This window comes from Homo sapiens, chromosome 1 (assembly GCF_000001405.40).
Source record: "Homo sapiens chromosome 1, GRCh38.p14 Primary Assembly".
Taxonomy (NCBI): Eukaryota; Metazoa; Chordata; class Mammalia; order Primates; family Hominidae; genus Homo; species Homo sapiens.
In genome coordinates, this window is record NC_000001.11 from 37,578,277 (window position 1) to 37,599,129 (window position 20,853).

Below are 20,853 nucleotides of genomic sequence, written 5' to 3' on the forward strand. Positions count from 1 at the left end.
CAAAATACAAAAATTAACCAGGTCTGGTGGTGCTTGCCTGTACTCCCAGCTACTTGGGAGGCTGAAGCAGGAGAATTGCTTGAACCCAGGAGGCGGAGATTGCAGTGAGCCTAAATCAGGCCACTCCACTCCAACCTGGGCAATAGAGCAAGACTCTGTCTCAAAAAAAAAAAAAAAATTAAATTAAATTAGAGTCCCTATTTAATCACCTTACAATGAAGTCTATCAGTCAACAAGGCCACTCCATGGAGAAAAAAAAGAACCTATCAGCTTTTTAATGCCTTACTCTTTTTTTTTTTGAAACAGGGTCTTCCCTTGTCAACCAGGCTGAAGTACAGCGACACAATCACAGCTCTCTGCGGCCTCTGTCTCCTGGGCTCAAGCAATCCTCCTGCCTCAGCCTCCTGGGTAGCTGGAACCATAAGTGTGCACCACTATGCCTTGCTAATTTTTTTCTATCTTTTGTAGAGATGGAGTTTTGCCATATTGCCCAGGCTCGTCTAGAACTCCTGAGCTCAAGCGATCTGCCTGCCTCATCCTCCCAAAGTGGTGGGATTATAGGCATGAGCCACTCTACCTGGCCTAATGCCTTACTCTTAAATATAAATAGAGAACCAAGAATAAACATTTAAGTTGACTCTACTTGCGGGTCGAGGCTGCAGTGAGCCATGATCGCACCACTGCACTTCAGCCTGGGTTAAGACAGAACAAGACCCTGTCTCAAAAAAATTTTTAAAGTAAAAGAAAAAATTTTTAAGCGTGACTGTAGCAGAAAACACAAAAAAACCCACAAAAATTTGGAGGTAACAGAATCAATGCAGACAGGAAAATTTCAAAACGTCATTAATGATACTGTGACTGTGAAATAAGATGTAAAAGGAGGCAGAGCAAATCAGAATTCAACAAGAGCTCTCAGAAATTAAAAATTAAAAGCAATTGGCAAAATAAATTTTGTGACTGGGCAGCTGGATGATCAAAACAAGGAAAGTGGCCGGGAGCAGTGGCTCACGTCTGTAATCCCAGCACTCTGGGAGGCCGAGGGGGGCGGATCACCTGAGGTCGGAAGTTTGAGACCAGCCTGACCAACACGGAGAAGCCCCGTCTCTACTAAAGATACAAAATTAGCCAAGTGTGGTGGCACATGCCTGTAATCCCAGCTACTCGGGAGGCTGAGGCAGGAGAATTGCTTGAACCTGGGAGGAGGAGGTTGCAGTGAGCCGAGATCGCGCCATTGCACTCTAGCCTGGGCAACAAGAGCAAAACTCTGTCTCACAAAAAAAAAAAAGTACCCAGAAAATAGAGGAAAATGTCATATATGTACCAAAAGAAAAAATATATAGGCCAGGTGCAGTGGCTCATGCCTGTAATCCCAACACTTTGGGAGGCTGAGGCGGGCGGATCACGAGGTCAAGAGATCAAGACCATCCTGGCTAACATGGTGAAAACCCGTCTCTACTAAAAATACAAAAATTAGCTGCGCGTTGTGGCGTGTGCCTGCAGTCCCAGCTACTCGGGAGGCTGAGGCAGGAGAATCGCTTAAACCCGGGAGGCGGAGGCTGCAGTGAGCCGAGATCACACCACTGCACTCCAGCCTGGTGACAAGAGTGAGACTCTGCCTCAAAAAAAAAAAAAAAAAAAAAGAAAGCAAATATAAATCAAGAATTAAACCAGGAGGTAAAAGCAAATTTCTGAACAAGAATACAGACAACTGAGGGAGGAAAGAAAATTTCAAAGAAATAATGTAAGACAATATCAGACTAAAGTCTCATCAAACGCCAAGCTCACTGAGCAATAAAAGGCCCACTTCAAGACACACCACTGTGAAATTTTAGAACAAGAGAAATTTTAAATTTTAGAATAAGAAAAGATTGGCTGGGCGTGGTGGCACACACCTGTAATCCCAGCACTTCAGGAGGCCAAAACGAGGCAGGAGGATCGCTTGGGCCTAGGAGTTTGAGGTTACAGTGAGCTGTGGTTGTGCCACCACACTCCAGCCTGGGTGACAAAGCAAGACCCTGTCTCAAAACAAGAAATCACAGCCACACAAAGTATGAGGGGTCAGAATGGCCTCAGATTCCTCAGAATTCAGAAGACAGTGCAGTGGTAACCTCAGTATTCTGAGGAAAAACAGCATAAAGGGTAGAATAAAGATCTTAATAAAGATATTTTCAGAACGCAAGGCGTATCTCAAAAAAATGTTCTTTCCAAGTATTCCTTCTCAGGAAACTTTTGGAAAATATGTCCCATGGAAAGAAAGGAGTAAACCAGAAAAGAAGAAAAGAGGTCCTATAAATAAGAGGTCCCATACAGGAAAACAGCCATGGGAATTCTCTGGATGACAGTGAAAGGAAATCCCAGAAAGACGACGCTGCAGCAGCCTGGAGAGCGGCCAGCCCTGCGGAGGACGGAGTGCTGGCCACCGAAGGGAACTACCTGTGCTGCCTGGAAGCTCTGACAGTTCCCACTGTATCAGAGAATTTGGTAGTATGATAGTGACAGATACAAATAGAACACAGCAAAGTAACACTAGCGAAAATAAAAGCTTCGATCAGAAAGGAATTATACTCATAGCACACCATGTGGATCAGCTGTGACTAATATTTTACAGTCATGACAATGTAAAGACTGAATGGCCAAGACTACTCTTCCCAGCCTGTTAGAGTGGCCACCCTGCAGGCTGCAACCCTTTATGAGAAATAAAGCTCTCCTTTCCAAGTTAAAACAACAACAACAACCAACCAACACTGAATGAATAATACTGTAACCCAACATTGGCATCTAACAATACAGGGGGAAGTACATACAGAGAGAGGATGGCTATAAGATAGCAAATCCTCATTTTCCATAGTAAGAAATTAATAAGCATCTTAAACTGGGGGTGAGGGGTGGGCACAGATCAAGAAAATCATAAGCATGTACTAAAAATATGGAGGAAAATAACAGAACTAATGGCTATTGGAAGCATTTGCTTCTGTAAAGTGGGGAAGGGTGGGACAGCAGACATGTGTCTTTTGTTAGAAGCCAGGTAGAATTAACTAAATAGACAAATTCAAAATGACAGGTACAGAACATGAAGCTTTAAGAATTTGATAGGGTAGTCTGGTTCCACGGCTTCCCTCAGGAGCTGACGTCTGACCAGGGATCTGAAGCTTGAATTTTGGCAGGGCCCTCTCCAACCAGAGGACATAGAAGCTGCATGGGCTCCATGGGCAGAGGATGCACAGCAGGCCTGGAAAGCCCAGCAGAGCGTGGAACGTCAGGTGCCAGGGCTGTGGCAGAAATGGAAGCAACACTGGTCACGGATGGGGGCAAAGGCTGAGCAAGAAAACACTTCAGAATCTCTTATAATCCTGATGCTCTGTGAGTTTTTACATCTCTGGAAGTTTTTACATCTTCTTCTTCTTTTTTTGAGAAGTCTCGCTCTGTCGCCCAGGCTGGGGTGCAGTGGCGCAATCTCGGCTCACGGCAAACTCCGCCTCCCAGGTTCAAGCGATTCTCCTGCCTCAGTCTCCCCAGTAGCTGGGACTACAGGCGTGTGCCACCATGCCTGGCCAATTTTTGTATTTTTAGTAGAGACGGGGTTTCACCATATTGGCCAGGCTGGTCTCAAACTCCTGACCTTGTGATCTGCCTGCCTCGGCCTCCCAAAGTGCTGGGATTACAGGTGTGAGCCACCGCGCCCGGCCACATCTTTTTTTTTTAGAGGCAGGGTTTTGCTCTGTTACCCAGGCTGGAGTGCAGTGGTGCCATCATAGCTCACTGTAGCCTTGATCTCCTGGGCTCCAGCAATCCTCCTGCCTCAGCGTCCTGAGTAGCTAGGACTACAGACCTGCGCAACCACGTCCGGCTAAGAAGTTGGCAACTTTCTGCTATGCCATGGCAAGACAGATTCTTATACCAACTCACAGCTACACAACTCCAGGAGAAACAGATCAGGGCTCAATACCTTTCCAAACTGCCGCAGAAGCTGAATGAATGCTCCCTTGCCAAACGGGTTAGTAAGGCTTGCATGGAAAGCAAGTGTTGGATAATCCTGGGAGAGGACAGCAACCCACCGTTTCTAGAAGGAGAGATGAAAACATTTTGGTAAACTGCAGTACATTTATTTACATTATGTGGAAGAATCAGAGCTTGAATTACAGAACTGTTTCAAATATACTGTTGTCTAAGGAAAATGTTAGCTATAATTCTTTGAAATGTTTTTTCCAAGTATAACAGTTAATGCTTTGTTCTTCTGTCTTATAAATACAAAACAATATTCCAAAAAATGTCTTCATTGTTACTAAATGCAATTAATGGAGCATAATGTGAAGCAGGCAGTGGCCTCAGAAGCCGTCTCCTGGTGCCTCTGCCCACTATCAATGAGCACACTTTCGTGTTTCCAATGAGAGCACTCCCATTACTACAATCTCAGCCGGACAACACTTTAGCCTAAAAGCCCTACAACTGACTTACTAACAGATGTCTTAATAGTCTATTCTGGTTTAGTAGTTGTACTTACTGTTGCCCAGGTTGGAACAAGGTCACATTTGTTAAGTACAAAAATGAGGTGTTTCCAAGGTTTTTCCTTCTTCAGGTAAGTTTCAATGTGAGGGGAACGAGTACCCATTGGATCTCTAGCATCAAGAACTTGAACTACAACATCTGATGAATCTATCACCTGAAAATTCAGAAAGGCAAAAATGGTTTGCTACAGTACAAATAAAAGAGGGATGACATTTAAGGGAGTCTGGGAAAAATAAAATAATAATATTTAGAGACAACTTCAAAACAGTCTCTGGGCAGAGTTCGTTGTGGCTAATCTCAAGGCCCAGTGATCAGAATTCAAAAGGTTTTTCATCCTGTGGCTTTTGAAACCTGCTGAATTTAAAACAGAAAAACTAGCTTAGATGAAACTCAACTTATTTCCTAACTACTATGGATTATTGAACTAAATCATTTACTTCTTAGACTTCTTTAAGTTTGTAATATTATCTTTAAGTTTGTAATATTATAGGTTTTGTGTATTTCACAAAAAACTACAAAGTTTAGCTTGCCTTCACGGTACTAGTTTCCTATCATGTTACTATTTAATTACGTGATTATACTTGAAAATTTTTCTTCTGAAGGTTATTATTAGTGCATGGACATAAACCTCTGCCGGTTAAAGATCACTGGATCAGAAATCAAGATATACAAAGCCTCCTTCACTAACAAGCTAGTCGAGCTAGGTACAGCATTAAACCTTTCTAGACAGGAGTCCTCATCGATAAAAGGAGAGGGGTGGACTAAATAACTTAAAATGTTGCATGTGACTTTAACTAGGCATGATAAATTTGGCAGGAAATCTTAAAAAATACTGACAGGTAATAAATATGTGATTGTATAATAAAAGATAGCTGTTACTCTTATACAAGTACTTTAAAAAATGCAGTTACCTAGATCAATGGTAGTACGCCTTCCGAGTTTCTTTGTAGGAGGAAGAGGATGGAACAGGCAGTGGTGCCTGTACTCTGCGCAACAGAGCTTCAATATATCAAAATTAGTTTTCTTCTACAAAATCATGAAAGCCCAAGGAACCACTCAATGGGAGAGAATTTAGGAGTCTTACCTTGTAGAGCTCACCCCATATTCTTTTGGACTGTCCCTTTTTATAGATCTCTTCTTGAGCTTCATTTCTAAATAAGAAAGCACCCCAAATGAGCAACTGAAGCACCATCAAGACTAAAAGGATGCTTTAGGGTAAAGTCAATGTACCAAAAAAAACAGTATCAAACCCAGTTGGAGATGGACCAGAAACAAACTGAATTTAAAAAGTGTGCCCAAATGTCTGTCAACAAATAAATGGATAAACACAATGTGGCACATATATACACAAGATAGCATTCAACTTTAAAAAAGAAGGAAATTCCAGCTGGCTCAGTGGCTCACACCTGTAATTCCAGCACTTTGGGAGGCCAAGGAGGGCAGACTGCTTGAGCCCAGGAGTTCGAGACCAGCCTGGGCAACATGGCAAAACCCCATCTCCACAAAAAATACAAAAATTAGCTGGGCATAGTGGTGCATGCCTGTAATCCCAGCTACTGGGGAGACTGGGGTGGGAGAACTCCTTGAGCCCAGGAGGTTGAGGCTGCAGTGAGCCATGAGCAGGCTACTGCTCCAGCCTGGGTGACAGAGCAAGACCCTGTCTCAAAAAATAATTAATTAAAAAAAAAAAAAAAAGAAGAAGAAAATTCTGACACCTGCTACAACACGAATGAACCTTGAAGACATTATGCTAAGTGAAATAAGCCAGACACAAAAGGACAAATACTGTATGATTCCACTTATATTAGGCACCTAAACCAGTCAAATTCATGAGAGAGAAAGTAGAATGTTGTTACCAGGGGCTGGGGGAGAGGGGAAACGGACCGTTAGTGTTAAATGGGTACAGGGTTTCAGTTTGGGATGATGAAAAAGTTCTGGAGATGGATAGCTGCAATGATTGCACAACAATGTAAATGAACTTAGTATCACTAAACTGTACACTTGAAAATGGTTAGAAGAGCTGGGCACAGTGGCTCACACTTGTAATCCCAGCACTTTGGGAGGCTGAGGCAGTGGATCATAAGGCCAGGAGTTCGAGACCAGCCTGACCAACATGGTGAAACCCTGTCTCTACTAAAAATACAAAAAAATTAGCCAGACGTGGTGGCGGGCACCTGTAATCCCAGCCACTCGGGAGGCTGAGGCTGGAGAATCGCTTGAACCCGGGAGGCAGAGATTGCAGTGAGCCGAGATCACATCAAATGGTTAGAAGAGTACTTTTTTTTTTTTTTTTTTGAGACGGAGTCTCGCTCTGTCGCCCAGGCTGGAATGAGTGGTGCGATCTTGGCTCACTGCAACCTCCGCCTCCCGGGTTTAAGCGATTCCCCAGCCTCAGCCTCCCAAGTAGCTGGTACTACAGGTGTGCGCCCCTGCGTCCAGCTAATTTGTGTATTTTTAGTAGGGACTGGGTTTCACCATGTTGGTCAGGCTGGTCTCAAACTACTGACCTCAGGTGATCCGCCCGCCTCAGCCTCCCAAAGTGCTAGCATTACAGGTGTGAGCCACTGCGTCTGGCCACATTTTTTGTTACATATATTTTACCACAATAAAACATTAAACTAAAAAAAAGCATGACTGAATTAGGCAGTATGTCACAGAGAATTACAAAATGGAATTGGCAGGACCTGAATCACAACCTATACTCCATAGCTCCCATATACAGCAGTATTTTTCTGATAAGGTTTAGAATCTGTTTATTTACTAGTCTCTAGGACATTTACCCAAGGTAAACAAAAATAGTTTTGTCTTTACTGCATTACCTACTATACCTGTTGCGGAAGGAAAAATTCAAATCGGCAGAATACAAAGCCAACGAAAGTTCAAATAATTCTAAGAACAAATAAATGAACTCACTGCCTCTTTTTGCTTGGCCTCAAATGGCTTGACATTTTATCTCTAGGTGGCCCAATGCTTGAAGATGGGCTGACAATAGCAATGAGGTAATAACACTGATGCAGTCAAAGGACAATGCCTCTTCACTAAGACAGCAAAACCTCCACTTCATTTAAGAGACATGAGATGGACGAGAATGAGAGCTTTCTAGCACTGCCCAAGGGAAATGAAATTAAACCCTTTCTCAAGAGCAATGTGGCAGCTGCCTATCAAAAAGCATGCATACCTTTTGATATCATGCTTTGCTCCGTAAGAACTTATCTTTGGGGAATAATTAAGGATGAAAAAGATGCGGTCACATTGATGCTTCATCCTTGTGTTGTTCACCATAAGGAAAAACTATACACAGTATAAATGTCCAACAATGAGACTGGCCATAACAAACAAAATACTACTCTGACAATAAATATTATATTATTGTTGATTATGTACTGACATAGAAATATATTCCTAATAATCACAGCTTACTGCAGCCTCAAATTCCTGGGCTCCAGTGATCCTCCCACCTCAGCCTTCTGAGTAGCTGGGACTCTATGCCCAGCCAATTTTTTATTTTTTGTAGAGACAAGGTCTCACTATGTTGCCCAGGCTGGTCTCAAACTCCTGTGCTCAAGCGATCTTCCTGCCTCAGCCTCCCAAAAAACTAGTATTACAGGTAAGCCACTGCAGCCAGCCGGTGACTGATTCTCCTTTTGAGTATGGATCCCTACGAGAATATGATTAAAATTATAGATACTTCCTCTCCTCCTCCTCCTCCCCAAAACAAAAACAAAAAACACAAAACCCTACTGCCTTTATGTAAGCTCACAAATTTTCCACATTTTCTTCAAAGAGTCAAAGAAACCTTACAGGCCATCCATTAACTCAGAGACCTCCAGTTAAGGAAGCCCCGATATTCACAGAGGCATTAACAATGCTTAATATCAGCAATGGGATCATGAGTTATGTTCTTTTTGTTGTATTTTCCAACTTAACTATATTTCCTAATTTGTCTATGACTGGTGTATTACTATTATAAATGAAAAAATGTTATTTATTTTGGGGATGAGGAGAGACCTTTGTCAATCAAGCCACCTTAGACATCTTCAGTCTAGCCCCAATTTCACCAACGTCTCCAGTCTGAGGGAAGAAGATAACTCCATATATGAGTTAAAGCACTGAGCTTCACACAGGCAAAATAAGTTGAAAGAAAATGTTTTGTTGCAGAAGAGCAAATGATGAGATTTGCATGAACTTCAAAACTGTACCTCGACCGGGTGCAGTGGCTCACACCTGTAATCCTAGCATTTTGGGAGGCCAAGGAGTGTGGATTGCCTGAGCTCACGAGTTCAAGACTAGCCTGGGCAACACGGTGAAACCTTGTCTCTACTAAAATACAAAAAATTAGCCAGGCATGGAGGCATCCACCTGTAGTCCCAGCTACTCAAAAGGCTGAGGCAGGAGAATTGCTTGAACCTGGGAAGCGGAGGTTGCAGTGGGCCAAGATCGCACCACTGCATTCCAGCCTGGGCGACAAAGCAAGACTCCATCTCAAAAAAAAAAAAACAAAAACAAAGAAGCAAAAAAAAAAATGTACCTCACACCAGTGTCTTCAGTTACCAAATCACGATCCTTGCCCTGGTCATAGCTCTCAGTGGACATTTCAGCATTTTCGATAAGAGACTGCATATCACTTGCAAATAAGTTTGGTCGTTTCCTCTGTGACTTAGGGCCAAATGTAGTTTCAAAACTTTCAGTATCAAGAATGTGCACCTTCAAGTTCTGAAGAGAAAGGAGAATAACAGGTAAAACTAAGAAAAGCACTGAGAAAAAGCAAAAAGCTCAACACCCACCTAGGAAAGACTTTCTGATTTTATTTTTCCAAGGTTCAACCCATACCCAAATCTGTAAGACATGGTTTCAGTCTGGTTTCAAATCAGAATTACTTGTTGAAATGGCACAAACACTGGTTCCCTTATTCTGAAGTTCTGTAAGCTTCCTTGGAGAAATACAAAAGTAATACAAATAATCAAAGTAAATATGAATAGTTGTACAAAAACTTGCCAAAAACTCTGCTTTATTTCATTTATCATAAATTTCAGTCAAATGTAATTAAGGCTACAGTGGTGAAAATTAATCTTTTCCACCATTTTTTATAGCTTTCAAACAAGAGCATAAAATTCGCCAAATTCATAGATTTTGTCAAGGACAATCATACTCAAATTTGTGAGTTTTTTTTAAACCAACTGTAAATGCCAACTTTTTCTTGGAAGTTAATTTCTTTCATGGCTAAAAGGAATTGCTTGTTTTGTAAGATGCATTTTAGTTTCAGATAACATTTTCCCTAATTTAGGTAACGTTTTTATTAAATGCACATGGCAAGTCTTCGGATGAAAAACATCTAGCAAAAGTCCAAAATAATAGTTTAGATGTGATAAAAGGAACCTGATACTAACTAGAACTTGATGTGCCTGTAAAGGAGTTACAGGCATAGGAATTTCTGAAGCAAGATAAAAGAGTTGGGATCTATCACATAACGGAATGTTAACAGCCTGCAGACAATTAAAAAAAAAAAAATCACCCTTTTCCCCCTAGTACAAGCTCCTCCGTAAGCACCACTACCAAAAGCTGTGAGGATGATGCAGCAGCCCCTGTGGTTTCTGAACTTTAACAGATCCCCTCTTCCAACTTCTAAAGATCCTTAAACTATTATCATTTTCTCAGATGCCCTAACCCACAACTCAGTTTAGTTTTAGTCACTACGTTCCACTCGGGAGCATCTCCAAACAGAAGCAGCTCATTTTACATGGGAAATAGGGTCTAATGTCACTGGGTAAAATCAAGTGTGACCAAAATTATCCTTCAAAATCTCTTAACCTGTAAGTTACAGTACCCAAGGCTTTATGTCTATAAACCTACACATTAGTAAGTATAACACACATTAGTAAGTATAACACAGTAATATACAGTATATAAAGCACATATGCAAAGTTACAGTACTCTTACTGTATTGCTACAGAAATACAGTAGTTCTAAAACACATATAGATGAATATGCGTATCTGATCTAACTCCACTGTGCAAAATAATCTCAGAATTAGATTTTATAAGTAATAGATATTACACTAAAATAAAATAGTTAAGGTTTTTCAAGGCCAAAGCAGAAAACTCATCAATTACTCTGAGCAGCTTTCTGCATCAACAAAGAAGCTGACTGGTGCAACTGCAGACCCTTCATTCTACATACCAGATATTTAAACACTGAATTTTAGAAGCACTGACAACAAGTACAGGCAACGAAGCAATAAATCCATCACAGAACCTCTCTGTTCTTCTCATAAACAGGATTCAATAGTTGCTTAAAAGATGGCTTTAGGGAGAACAGACAAAGAGAACAAGGGAAATGAGCAACTTGTCTGTGGTTCATGAATTACACTCATGTGTTCCCCTGAAAGAAAACAGTCATTCTACTAATAGGTGCCATTCTTCTAGTGCATCATAAAACAAAACATAACTGACAAAACCTGAGGCAATAACCAGGCCTTGGTTTTTATTTTGTTCTGCAAGTAAACAGTTTTCTTTGAACTATTTTATTTTTATTTATTTATTTGAGACGGAGTCTTGCTCTGTCGCCTGGGCTGGCACGCAGTGGCGCAATCTCGGCTCACTGCAAGCTCTGCCTCCCGGGTTCATATCATTCTCCTGCCTCAGCCTCCTGAGTAGCTGGGACTACAGGTGCCCGCCACCACGCCCGGCTAATTTTTTTTTGTATTTTTAGTAGAGACGGGATTTCACGTGTTAGCCAGGATGGTCTCAATCTCCTGACCTTGTGATCCACCCGCCTTGGCTTCCCAAAGTGCTGGGATTCAGGCGTGAGCCACCGCGCCCAGCCTGAACTATTTAACCCACGTATGCATGTCAATGTTTTTCTCCCCTCCTCATACTGGAACTGAAGCTTACGTACTGGCTACATTTCTGGGAATTTATTATTCAATGCAAGTAAAAATAAGCAGACAAACAACAGATTCTTTCTTTGTTCTGTGTGAAACTCATTCCACTCAACCCAGATTGAATCCTTACTGCACTTCAAATTTTAGCAATTGACAACCAATGTGACCAGCACCCCTTCCTTCAGCTGAGAAAAAATCTCAAGGATCTCACAAAAGCTGAACGTACGCAACACCAAAGTTCTACCAACTCAATCCTAATTCTACGCTGTCCCAAAGTTTGATGGAATTACCACTTAAAACAAGTTTGCCTACCAAAATAAATAATATTACTAATAGCTGTTATCAATTTAGCTCTTATTAGGTGGTGTGCTATGTGCTCACTATGGGCCAAGTGCTTTACAGATGCTTCATCTGTAGCCAATAACCCAAGGAGGTCGGTTATCTATACTTTCTGTTTTTTTTAGACGGAGTTTCGCTCCTGTTGCCCAGGCTGGAGTGCAATGGCACGATCTTGGCTCACTGCAATCTCTGCCTCCCAGGTTCAAGCGATTCTCCTGCCTCAGCCTCTCCTGAGTAGCTGAGATTACAGGTATGCACCACCACGCCTGGCTAATTTTGTATTTTTAGTAGAGACAGGGTTTCTTCTTGTTGGTCAGGTTGGTCTCAAACTCCTGACCTCAGGTGATCCGCCTGCCTGAGCCTCCCAAGTGCTGGGATTACAGGCGTGAGCCACTGTGTCCGACCTATCTATACTTTCAAGGCAAAGAAGTTAAAGTTCATGGAGAAACCCAACTAAGGGCACAGGAAGGGATAGAGCAAGGATTAAAATTCAGGTCTCAACTCCAAAACCTGTGCTTTGATCCACTACACTACTGCACCTCATACTAAACATGAAAAGGTGAAAAGAGAGGTCTTAGAAAGTTCATCATTGCTACATTAAAGTCACTATTTTCTAAGGAAAAACAAAAGACAAATATGTTAGAGAGGGATCTGCATGGAGTTTGCCCAGGAAATTCCATCACCAGGGATATCCTACATCTTACATGAGGCCGGATTCGATCATGGAGAAGAGACATTGGTAACTTGCTTTGCTTCATGACAACTTTGTATGGATCCTTCATAACTGTATCCATTTCCTCTTGAAATTTTTGTAATGATGACTGCTTAATCACACGTGTGTTTCCTGTTTTACAAATAAAGAATGTTGCCACTTAGTTAATATTTGCGCATCCATCTTCCACTGACACGGTGAAAGGCAAGATTTTAAATTACCCTCACTTACCCAAGCACCTGATCCATCCATCCCTTGGAGCTGTTTTCAAACTTAAAAGAGGAAAAAACCAAAAAACTGCCTCTCCCGCACTTGCACACTATGAACTATTCCACAAATCCAGACCCACAAAGGGTTTCAATAGTTTTCCAAGTCCAGTTTCCTAACTAAATGAAACTGAGAAATAAATAGCGTGGAATGGAACTGAGATCTGTCAAATGTCCTACTACCTGCTAGATCTAGCAGAGAAACCTGGAGCCAATCACAGCTGATCAGTCAGTATAGACAGAGAATCTTGAAACACTGAAATTTGAGTCATAGTTAGCCACTTTTAGGGTTATGAGGATTCAAAGGGACTATTAACCAATGAGTCCATGCAAGGGAACAAGATAGAGCCCTGCACCACCACCTGGAAAACATCTTGTGAGGGAGACCCTGAAAAGCATTCAATTAAACAGCATGCTGCGGCATAAATGCAAAACAGCAAGGTGGTAATGACGGTAGCAAGTAATGCTTATATTATACTCACTATTTGCTAGGCGCTATTCTAAGCACTTTATATATATTTACTCTTTTTTTTTTTTTTTTTTTGAGATGGAGTCTCACTCTGTCACCCAGGCTGGAGTGCAGTGGCACAATCTCAGCTCACTGCAACCTCTGCCTCCTGGGCTCAAGGGATTCTCCTGCCCCAGCCTCCCAAGTAGCTGGGATTACAGGTGCCCACCACAACACCTGGCTAATTTTTGTATATTTAGTAGAGATGGGGGTTTCACTGTGTTGGCCAGGCTGGTCTCGAATGCCTGACCTCAAGTGATTCACCAGCCTTGGCCTCCCAAAGTGCTGGGATTACAGGCGTGAGCCACTGCGCCCTGCCTGTATTTACTCATTTGATTACCATGACAGTCTTATGAGATAGGTTTCATCTTATTCTCATGTTAGGGATGAGAAAACTGATGAACAGACAGACTTAATAACTTGCCCACTGGCACATAAATGACAGAACTAGAATTCAAACCCAGGCAGTCTAATCGAGTCACAGTACCCAGCAGCCATGCTAAATGCTTCTCTGCAGAGTTTTGACACCTTTCTGTGTTGCAGTTCTTAGGAAGTATCCCACTGAAAGTATAAGAGACTCAAAGATAGCTGCCACCTGCCCCCAAGGACAGAGGTCAAACACCAAGCAAACACTGGGGTCTGATCATCTAAAGTGCCCATACATTTACCAGTGGCTAAGGGCAAAGTTAAGAGCCCAGACTGAAATGAGACAGGGAGTTTTCCAAGGAAGAAGCTGTGATCACCCTGAGACTGAAGATACTCTATTCACTGTTGGACAGTTCAACAGTGAGACCCTTTAATTGTCACCCAAGTTCAAATAAAAACCCCATTAAGAAGTATTTCAGAGGAACTTCGGGCTAATGCACTTACCCTGAAGGATATATGCACAAAACCTACAAGGCCACCTCTCCAACAGTATCTCTTTAGGAAAGCAGAAAAGATTAAGATGAGCATTCTAAGGTCTGTGAATGCTAGTCATTAAGGATGGTCTTATCTGCTTAAGAGGGTTCAATTACAATTACTAATGGTGAGCGCTCTTCAAAAAGAAGTTATTTATTAAATTGACCACCACTACTTTTCCCAGTAATTCTTCTTATCCCTTTCTCAGATAATCCTTGCCGGTTTCACTCACCAAAAACTCCTGCTGTTTAGACATTTAAACATCCTAGCCGTTTCCACTCAGCATATATTTTGTAGAGCAAAGTAACAGGGGATAATACTCACCAAACCATTTAATATTTGGCTCTACTCTTGCCACTGTGCCAGAAGCCACCGTTGATTGATATTGCAGGGGTTTAATTATTTTACCACGACTGTTCCTAAATTGAGGAAAGAACAGATATTGGTTGACAACAGAAAAATGGCAACAGCGAAGTTTGATTTACAGAATATATTTTCCATCAAAAGGACTTCTTACTTTGGTTTTAAATGATCATGAAATACCAATTCCAGTAAACACAAAGTACTTCTACATTTGAAACAGATTGCCCAAAAGCCATTTAACCTCTTGCAACAGAGCACGTAATGATTTCTGCTAGATGAATAACAACTAATGGTGACGTTCTAAAAAATCTGGTTACTGTTTACTTTAAAAAAAAAACACATACATACTTGAGTTTTTTGGGTAATTATTCAAAGGCTGGTTTAAATGAATTTTTCACGTAGAGGGTGATTTACGCCGGAATTCCAAATTCTAAAACAAACTGCAAAGTAGATGACTACACATATTAAGTTCTTTGACATTTGTATTTTAGTCACATCTTTTAGGACAGACGGAGATGGAGAATCTAATTACCAAACAAATTAAGACCAGTTAGCGGAATGCCACACTCAGCAAATCCCTGTGGTAGAGGCTACCTCAGCAGAACTCGGAGTTTTGATGACTGTCCAAGTGCCACAATGTCATGATCTACATTTTGGCATTAAAAAACACATTTTCTGGTGGCTTTCCTAACTACAGTCCTGTAGGTTTTGTTATATCTGGCCATATTTAACTCTGAGATTTAATGCGCCATTTGTGGAGGTCAGGGCTGTGAGAAACAAGACCTCTACTTTTGAGTATTGTGAAACCATCACTATTTCACCGCCAGCTACCCATGTCCTTAACCAAAAGTTAACACTTTATCCTAACGACACTCACGTACAATTATATTTGAGAATATATAACTCCTATTTGGAGGAAGTGGGGGTGAGAACAGCAAAGGCTTCATCAGTCTCAGCTAGCAGTCAAGGGCATGAAGGAAAAGAGAAAGGATGACAGCACCCAGTGCTCACCTGCGCTCCTTTTGCCTATACATATTCAGGCGCCGGATGGTGGCCCGGTCCCTCATGTTTTGGCCTCCTGCTCCCTGCACTCGATCTACAAAAGGCAGAAGTACACAGTGCACTATTTGATAACCAACCAGTATAACCAACAAGTCATTGCTTAAAATGCAACAAGTAGTTCACCCAAATTAGGTAAGAAGCCACCAACCACAAAAATCTCTACTTTCTCCATATGTTGCTCCAATAATTAGTACTTGAAGCTACATGGTATGACAAAGCTGACCCAATCTTTGATCTTCGATAGGATTGTATTTGAGAAGAATAGCTAATATTTTTGAGCACTTATGATGGCACTGTGTTATCCAAATTATAGGCATCATCTGATTTAATCTATACAATAATCCTATAGATATATTATCCCCATGCTGCGGAGTGAGAAACTGAGGCACAGTGGTCAGACACCTTGCCCAAGGTCAAACCGTTACTAAATGGCAGAGCCAGAATTTGTACATGAGCATTTGATCACCATCTATGGTCTTAACCACGAAGATACCTACCTCTGTGTCTCAGTTTAACAAATATTGAGTGCCTGCTCCATGCAAGGCACCATGGAGACTATAATTTTGATATATGTGTTCTTACTTTCTTAATGTTTGATTTTTGTTTAATCAACACAGCAATTCTTGCCTTACATCTCAAAGAGAAAGAGAAGGACAAACGAATAGGGTAATACTAGCCTAGCTTCTCATTTTGGGAGCCCTTTATTTACCTATTTATTCATTTATTCATTATTATTATCTTTTTTTTGAGACAGAGTCGTGCTCTGTCACCCAGGCTGGAGTGCAGTGTCGCGATCTCAGCTCACTACAACCTCCACCTCCCCGGTTCATGCAATTCTTCCACCTCAGCCTCCCGAGTAGCTGGGATTACGGGCATCCGCCATCATGCCCGGCTAATCTTTGTATTTTTGTAGAGAGGGGGTTTCATCATGTTGGTCAGGCTGGTCTTGAACTCCTGACCTCGGGTGATCCGACCGCCTCGGCCTCCCAAAGTGCTGGGATTACAGGCGTGAGCCACCACACCTGGCCAGGAGCCCCTTAAATCACCTGTCTGGTCCTGAAGTGATACAGTAGAAGACAGGCTGAAACCACAGCCCATTGGCTCTCCTAACAGTCTCTAACAGTAGAAACTGGCGGCTCTACTACTACTCACTAACTGTTGCAATTATGACAGGCCACTTCCTGTATTTTGATTCAGTCTCTTCACCTGTAAAATCATAATCTCTAAGGGCCTTTTGGGGTCTAACATTCTGAGATTCCAGTTTGTGCAAAGTGAATAATTTATTATCAATCCGGAATAAACATTCAACTTGCATTAAAATTGTCAAAAATTCTAAACCATATTTTAAAACAAAGTTTTATTAATTAAACCTGAATGGAAGGAACTCTCCCATAGGATGTCTTGTTAATCGTACAGGTGGAACCTCGCCAAAACTTACACACATCTCCTAAACAGCCTTACTGCAATGATCATACTGACTTCTTTGTAGGGTTCTCTAAGCACTTTACCAGATAGAATAATTCCAAGGGCCAAAACTATAAGCCCTTTCTCATTTTAAAGGTCAAAGCTAAGGTGGCAGGCAAGTATGATCACGTGTAAAAGGCCCGAAGGGTCAACCTACACCATTTTTAATCTGACTTTCTCTGCATCTCTCAACTGGAGAGGACCCAAGGCTGTCAGCCTGAGTGTTCACTTTCCTTGACTTCAGACCAGTTGACTACACTTTGGCCTGCCAGGCGTGCACTGAGCCCTCCTCAGTTCCCCCCTGAGAAGAAACCACCACAAATATTGCTTTCCTTTTTCCCTTTTCATCCCCAACAGCCACCCCGCTCGTAGTCATTCTAAGCAATGCCACTCGAGTAACCCTCCTTCCCCTCCAGTGCTCCTCGGAGCCCTTCCCTATACTTCCTCCAAGCTCCACCCTCGATCAGCCCTGCCGCCTGTACCTGGGTTTGTGCTGGCCTTGGACGGGTTGATGGTGCTCCGTCCTTTGTACTTGGGCTTCACCATCTTGGCGACGAGACCGGGACCGGAGTGCGAGGTCCGGCTTACGTGGTGAAACAAACTTTTATGTTCCCAAGCCCGGCCGAAGACACCCGCCTGAACCACGCCGGACCACGTGTGCACGACGTACGTCACTTCCGCTCGCGTCCCTCTCGGCCTCAGAGCGACTTCCTGTGAACGCGCGGCGCGCGCCGTCACCCTCCTGGCTCCGCCCCCGCTCCAGCCGCCTAGGCGTCGCCCTGCGTGGAGCCCCAGCCCGCTCCAGCCCTAGCAACCGCCAAGCTGCCCGTTCATAGCAACCGCCTAGTTAACCTGAACGCGCGGCCAGAGCTCCCAGTTGGGTCCACCTCCGAATAAAGAAGCTTCTTCCCAGGCCAGTGGCACAAGCTTAAGTTTGTCTTCTGAATTTGTCTTCTAAGTCCTTCCAAAAGTTGCCGACCACACAGCAGCCAAATATCCGTTAGGAGGTGTCATTCTCTTCCTTACAACTCCAGTGGCTTATCATCACTCTTAGAATGAGAGGTAGGGGAAGGGAGAAGGGAGAAACAGACAGAGACAGAGATTGATTCAAACTTTTTGCCATCCCTACAGGATTCTGTGATCTGGCCCCTGCCTGCCTATTTATCTAATCTCATGTGTACGTCCCTCCCTCTGGTTATTCTGACATTTACACTGGATATTCTCTCTGCCTGAATCACTCTTTCCCAGAATCTTTGCATAGCTGTCATTCAATCCTAAGCTCAAATATCACCTATTGGTAGGCCTGCAAGAATTAGCAAATAGAAATACAGGACACCAAATTAAATTAGAATTTCAGAGAAAAAAAATGAATACTTTTCTTTAGTACACCTCCAACAGTGCCTGGAAAATACTTAGACTAAAAAAGTATTCATCGTTTGCCTGAAATTCAAATGTAACTGTACGTTCTGTATTTTATCTGGTGACCCTTCCTGCTGTGAGAACTCATTCCTGTCTAATTTGTCTAAATCAGCCACCTTTCACCCTTTCACAGTTATTCTGTTACAGTATTCTGTTTTATTTATTTCATGGCATTTATCACTAGTTGAATTTTTTTTACAAGTTTATTGGCTGCTTCCCCCAAACTAGAATGTAAGATTCTTAAAAGCAGGGACCTTGTTAATTTGTTCACTGCTGTGTCTTTAAGACTTGAATAGCATCTGAAACAAAGGACTCAAAAAATATTCATTAAGTGAAAGAATGAGTAGATGGGAATGTCTCTTGCCTTGAGGATGAAGGAAGGCATTAAGACCCAGTGATTTCTGTTTCTACTAGCCAGAATAAAGTGTCTAGATGCCAGTGTTTGAACCAAGAAGCCCTCTCTCTTTTTACAATTTATTTTTTGTTTGTTTGTTTTTGTTTTTGTTTTTTGAGACGGAGTCTCGCTCTTGTTGCCCAGGCTGGAGTGCAGTGGCCCGGTCTCGGTTCACTGCAACCTCCACCTCCCGGGTTCAAGCAATTCTCCTGCCTCAGCCTCCCAAGTAGCTGAGATTACAGGCGCATGGTATCATGCCCAGCTAATTTTTGTATTTTTAGTAGAGACGGGCTTTCACCACATTGGCCAGGCTGGTCTCAAACTCCTGACCTCAGGTGATCCACCTGCCTCAGCCTCCCAAAGTGCTGGGATTACAAGTGTGAGCCACCTCGCCTGGTCCCTCTCTCTTTTTTGGTACCTCAAATTGTCAGAAAATGGCCATCTTTGTACCCTCTGGATAGGCCAAAGAAGAGATGGTTAGGCAAGAGGAAGGGTGGATTCATGCAGTGTAGCTCATTTCATAAAAACAAACAATTTGTTATAAAGTGAGGTATTCTAATTGAGCAGGGGATGATTGAGTCTTTATTTCTCTGAGTTTGAAACAAACCCCAAAACATTCTCTTTAGAGCAAAAGCAGGCCATGTCATAGGCTAGAGCTGGAAATACCTTCTGTCCCTCAAGCTTCGCTTTTATTGCCCCAAGGGCAAGTATCATGAGATTAAATGCAGCTCTGCTGGGAAGGCCCTGACTGTGACCTGTGTTAGGGAAGCTCTGAGAGCTATTTGGAAAAAACTTCATGATCAGTGAAGATGCCCCCTTCCACCCCACACTGTCCCTCTGATCCCCAAAACAAGGATACCATAGCCTCCTCCCAGAGAGAAGATTCAGTTAATGTGTTTCTGATGCCTCAAGTTGGTGCAAACCAGAATAAACACGGATGGCAAAAATCAGCCTATGAGCTCATTCAGGCTTTGATCAGAGACATAATTTCATTATGAAATTTTGAATCAGGCTGTTGTGAAGTCTTGCCAAGGAGTTTCATTTTCCCAGATGATATGGTGGGTTGTTTCTCTCCTGTTCTCATACTCTGCTTGCATTTATCTTACAAACTTTCCATCTATTTTTATAATCTGACCCATCAATCCTTTTACAACAATATTTGCCGATCTCGACAACCAACTTCAATTCTACCAGCAGATAAAAAGCCTGATCAAGGTAAGTCAAGCTTAAGTTACTGGTTTGATTTGCCTGCCCTGCTTGCCGCATTGTAATGCAGTGACTATTTTTCACTCTCTTTTCTGATGTCATGCCAACTAGCAGAGGCAAGATACACCTCCAGGTCTACAGTTCCTCAGCTTTAAAACAGATGCAATAGCTTAACTACTCTGAAAGACTGCAATAAGATCATATGAGTTACAGTATATGAAAGCATCGCAGACATGGTACACATCATGCAGATGGGATGCTTTCTATTTTTCTTCTTTTTTTTTTTTTTTTTTTTGAGATGGAGTCTTGCCCTTTCACCAGGCTGGAGTGCAGTGGCATGATCTCAGCTCACTGCAAACTCTGCCTCCTAGATTCAAGCTATTCTCATGCCTCAGCCTCCCAAGTAGCTGGGATTACAGGCACGCACCACCATGCCCAGCTAATTTTTGTGTTTTTAGTAGAGACGGGGTTTCGCCATGTTGGCCAGGCTGGTCTCAATTTCCTGACCTCGAGATCTTCCCGCCTCGGTCTCCCAAAGTGCTGGGATTACAGGCATGAGCCACTGCACCGGCCAGGGATGCTTTCTATTTTTCTCAAAATCCAAGGTGAGCTACTCATCCCCTCAAATGTTGCTCCTGGTAACCACAGGTTTGTGTGAATGAGAAGACCTTAATGGATGGAGACTGGCTGGAAATGCCATGTTCTGGACTGGTGTCTTCACAGGAAGCAGACAATCCTGACCTTACTTTTTTTTTTTTTTTTTTTTTTTTCAGATAGAGTCTTGCTCTGTCACCCAGGCTGGAGTGCAATGGCACGATCTCAGCTCACTGCAAC

The 20,853-nt window shown here is 42.5% G+C and overlaps 1 protein-coding gene across 4 annotated transcripts in view, besides 2 other annotated features; it reads right to left on the bottom strand.

The window, feature by feature from the left end:
* GNL2 (G protein nucleolar 2) overlaps positions 1-17,661 on the bottom strand; it is a 29,122-nt gene extending 11,461 nt beyond the window's left edge. The window contains exons 1-9 of one of the 4 annotated variants that reach the window (NM_001323623.2): positions 17,483-17,661; positions 15,486-15,570; positions 14,436-14,530; positions 12,430-12,569; positions 9,035-9,219; positions 5,591-5,657; positions 4,502-4,660; positions 3,947-4,060; positions 3,066-3,269 (exon numbers count right to left, since the gene is read on the bottom strand). In NM_001323623.2, the coding sequence (NP_001310552.1) occupies positions 3,066-3,269; positions 3,947-4,060; positions 4,502-4,660; positions 5,591-5,657; positions 9,035-9,219; positions 12,430-12,569; positions 14,436-14,530; positions 15,486-15,570; positions 17,483-17,546 (1,113 nt within the window). In that variant the 5' untranslated portion in view covers positions 17,547-17,661. Of the gene's footprint in view, positions 1-3,065; positions 3,270-3,946; positions 4,061-4,501; positions 4,661-5,590; positions 5,658-9,034; positions 9,220-10,683; positions 10,977-12,429; positions 12,570-14,435; positions 14,531-15,485; positions 15,571-17,482 lie in introns of those variants that run through there. The other 3 variants (NM_013285.3, NM_001323624.2, XM_024446591.2) reach the window with 3 other exon arrangements.
* Positions 17,160-17,219: an enhancer, noted in NCBI's record as "active region_770". NCBI's record gives its function as "activates an Ori minimal core promoter by ATAC-STARR-seq in GM12878 lymphoblastoid cells {active_cell/tissue: GM12878}" and the evidence as "EXISTENCE:reporter gene assay evidence [ECO:0000049][PMID:35858748]".
* Positions 17,390-17,579: an enhancer, noted in NCBI's record as "active region_771". NCBI's record gives its function as "activates an Ori minimal core promoter by ATAC-STARR-seq in GM12878 lymphoblastoid cells {active_cell/tissue: GM12878}" and the evidence as "EXISTENCE:reporter gene assay evidence [ECO:0000049][PMID:35858748]".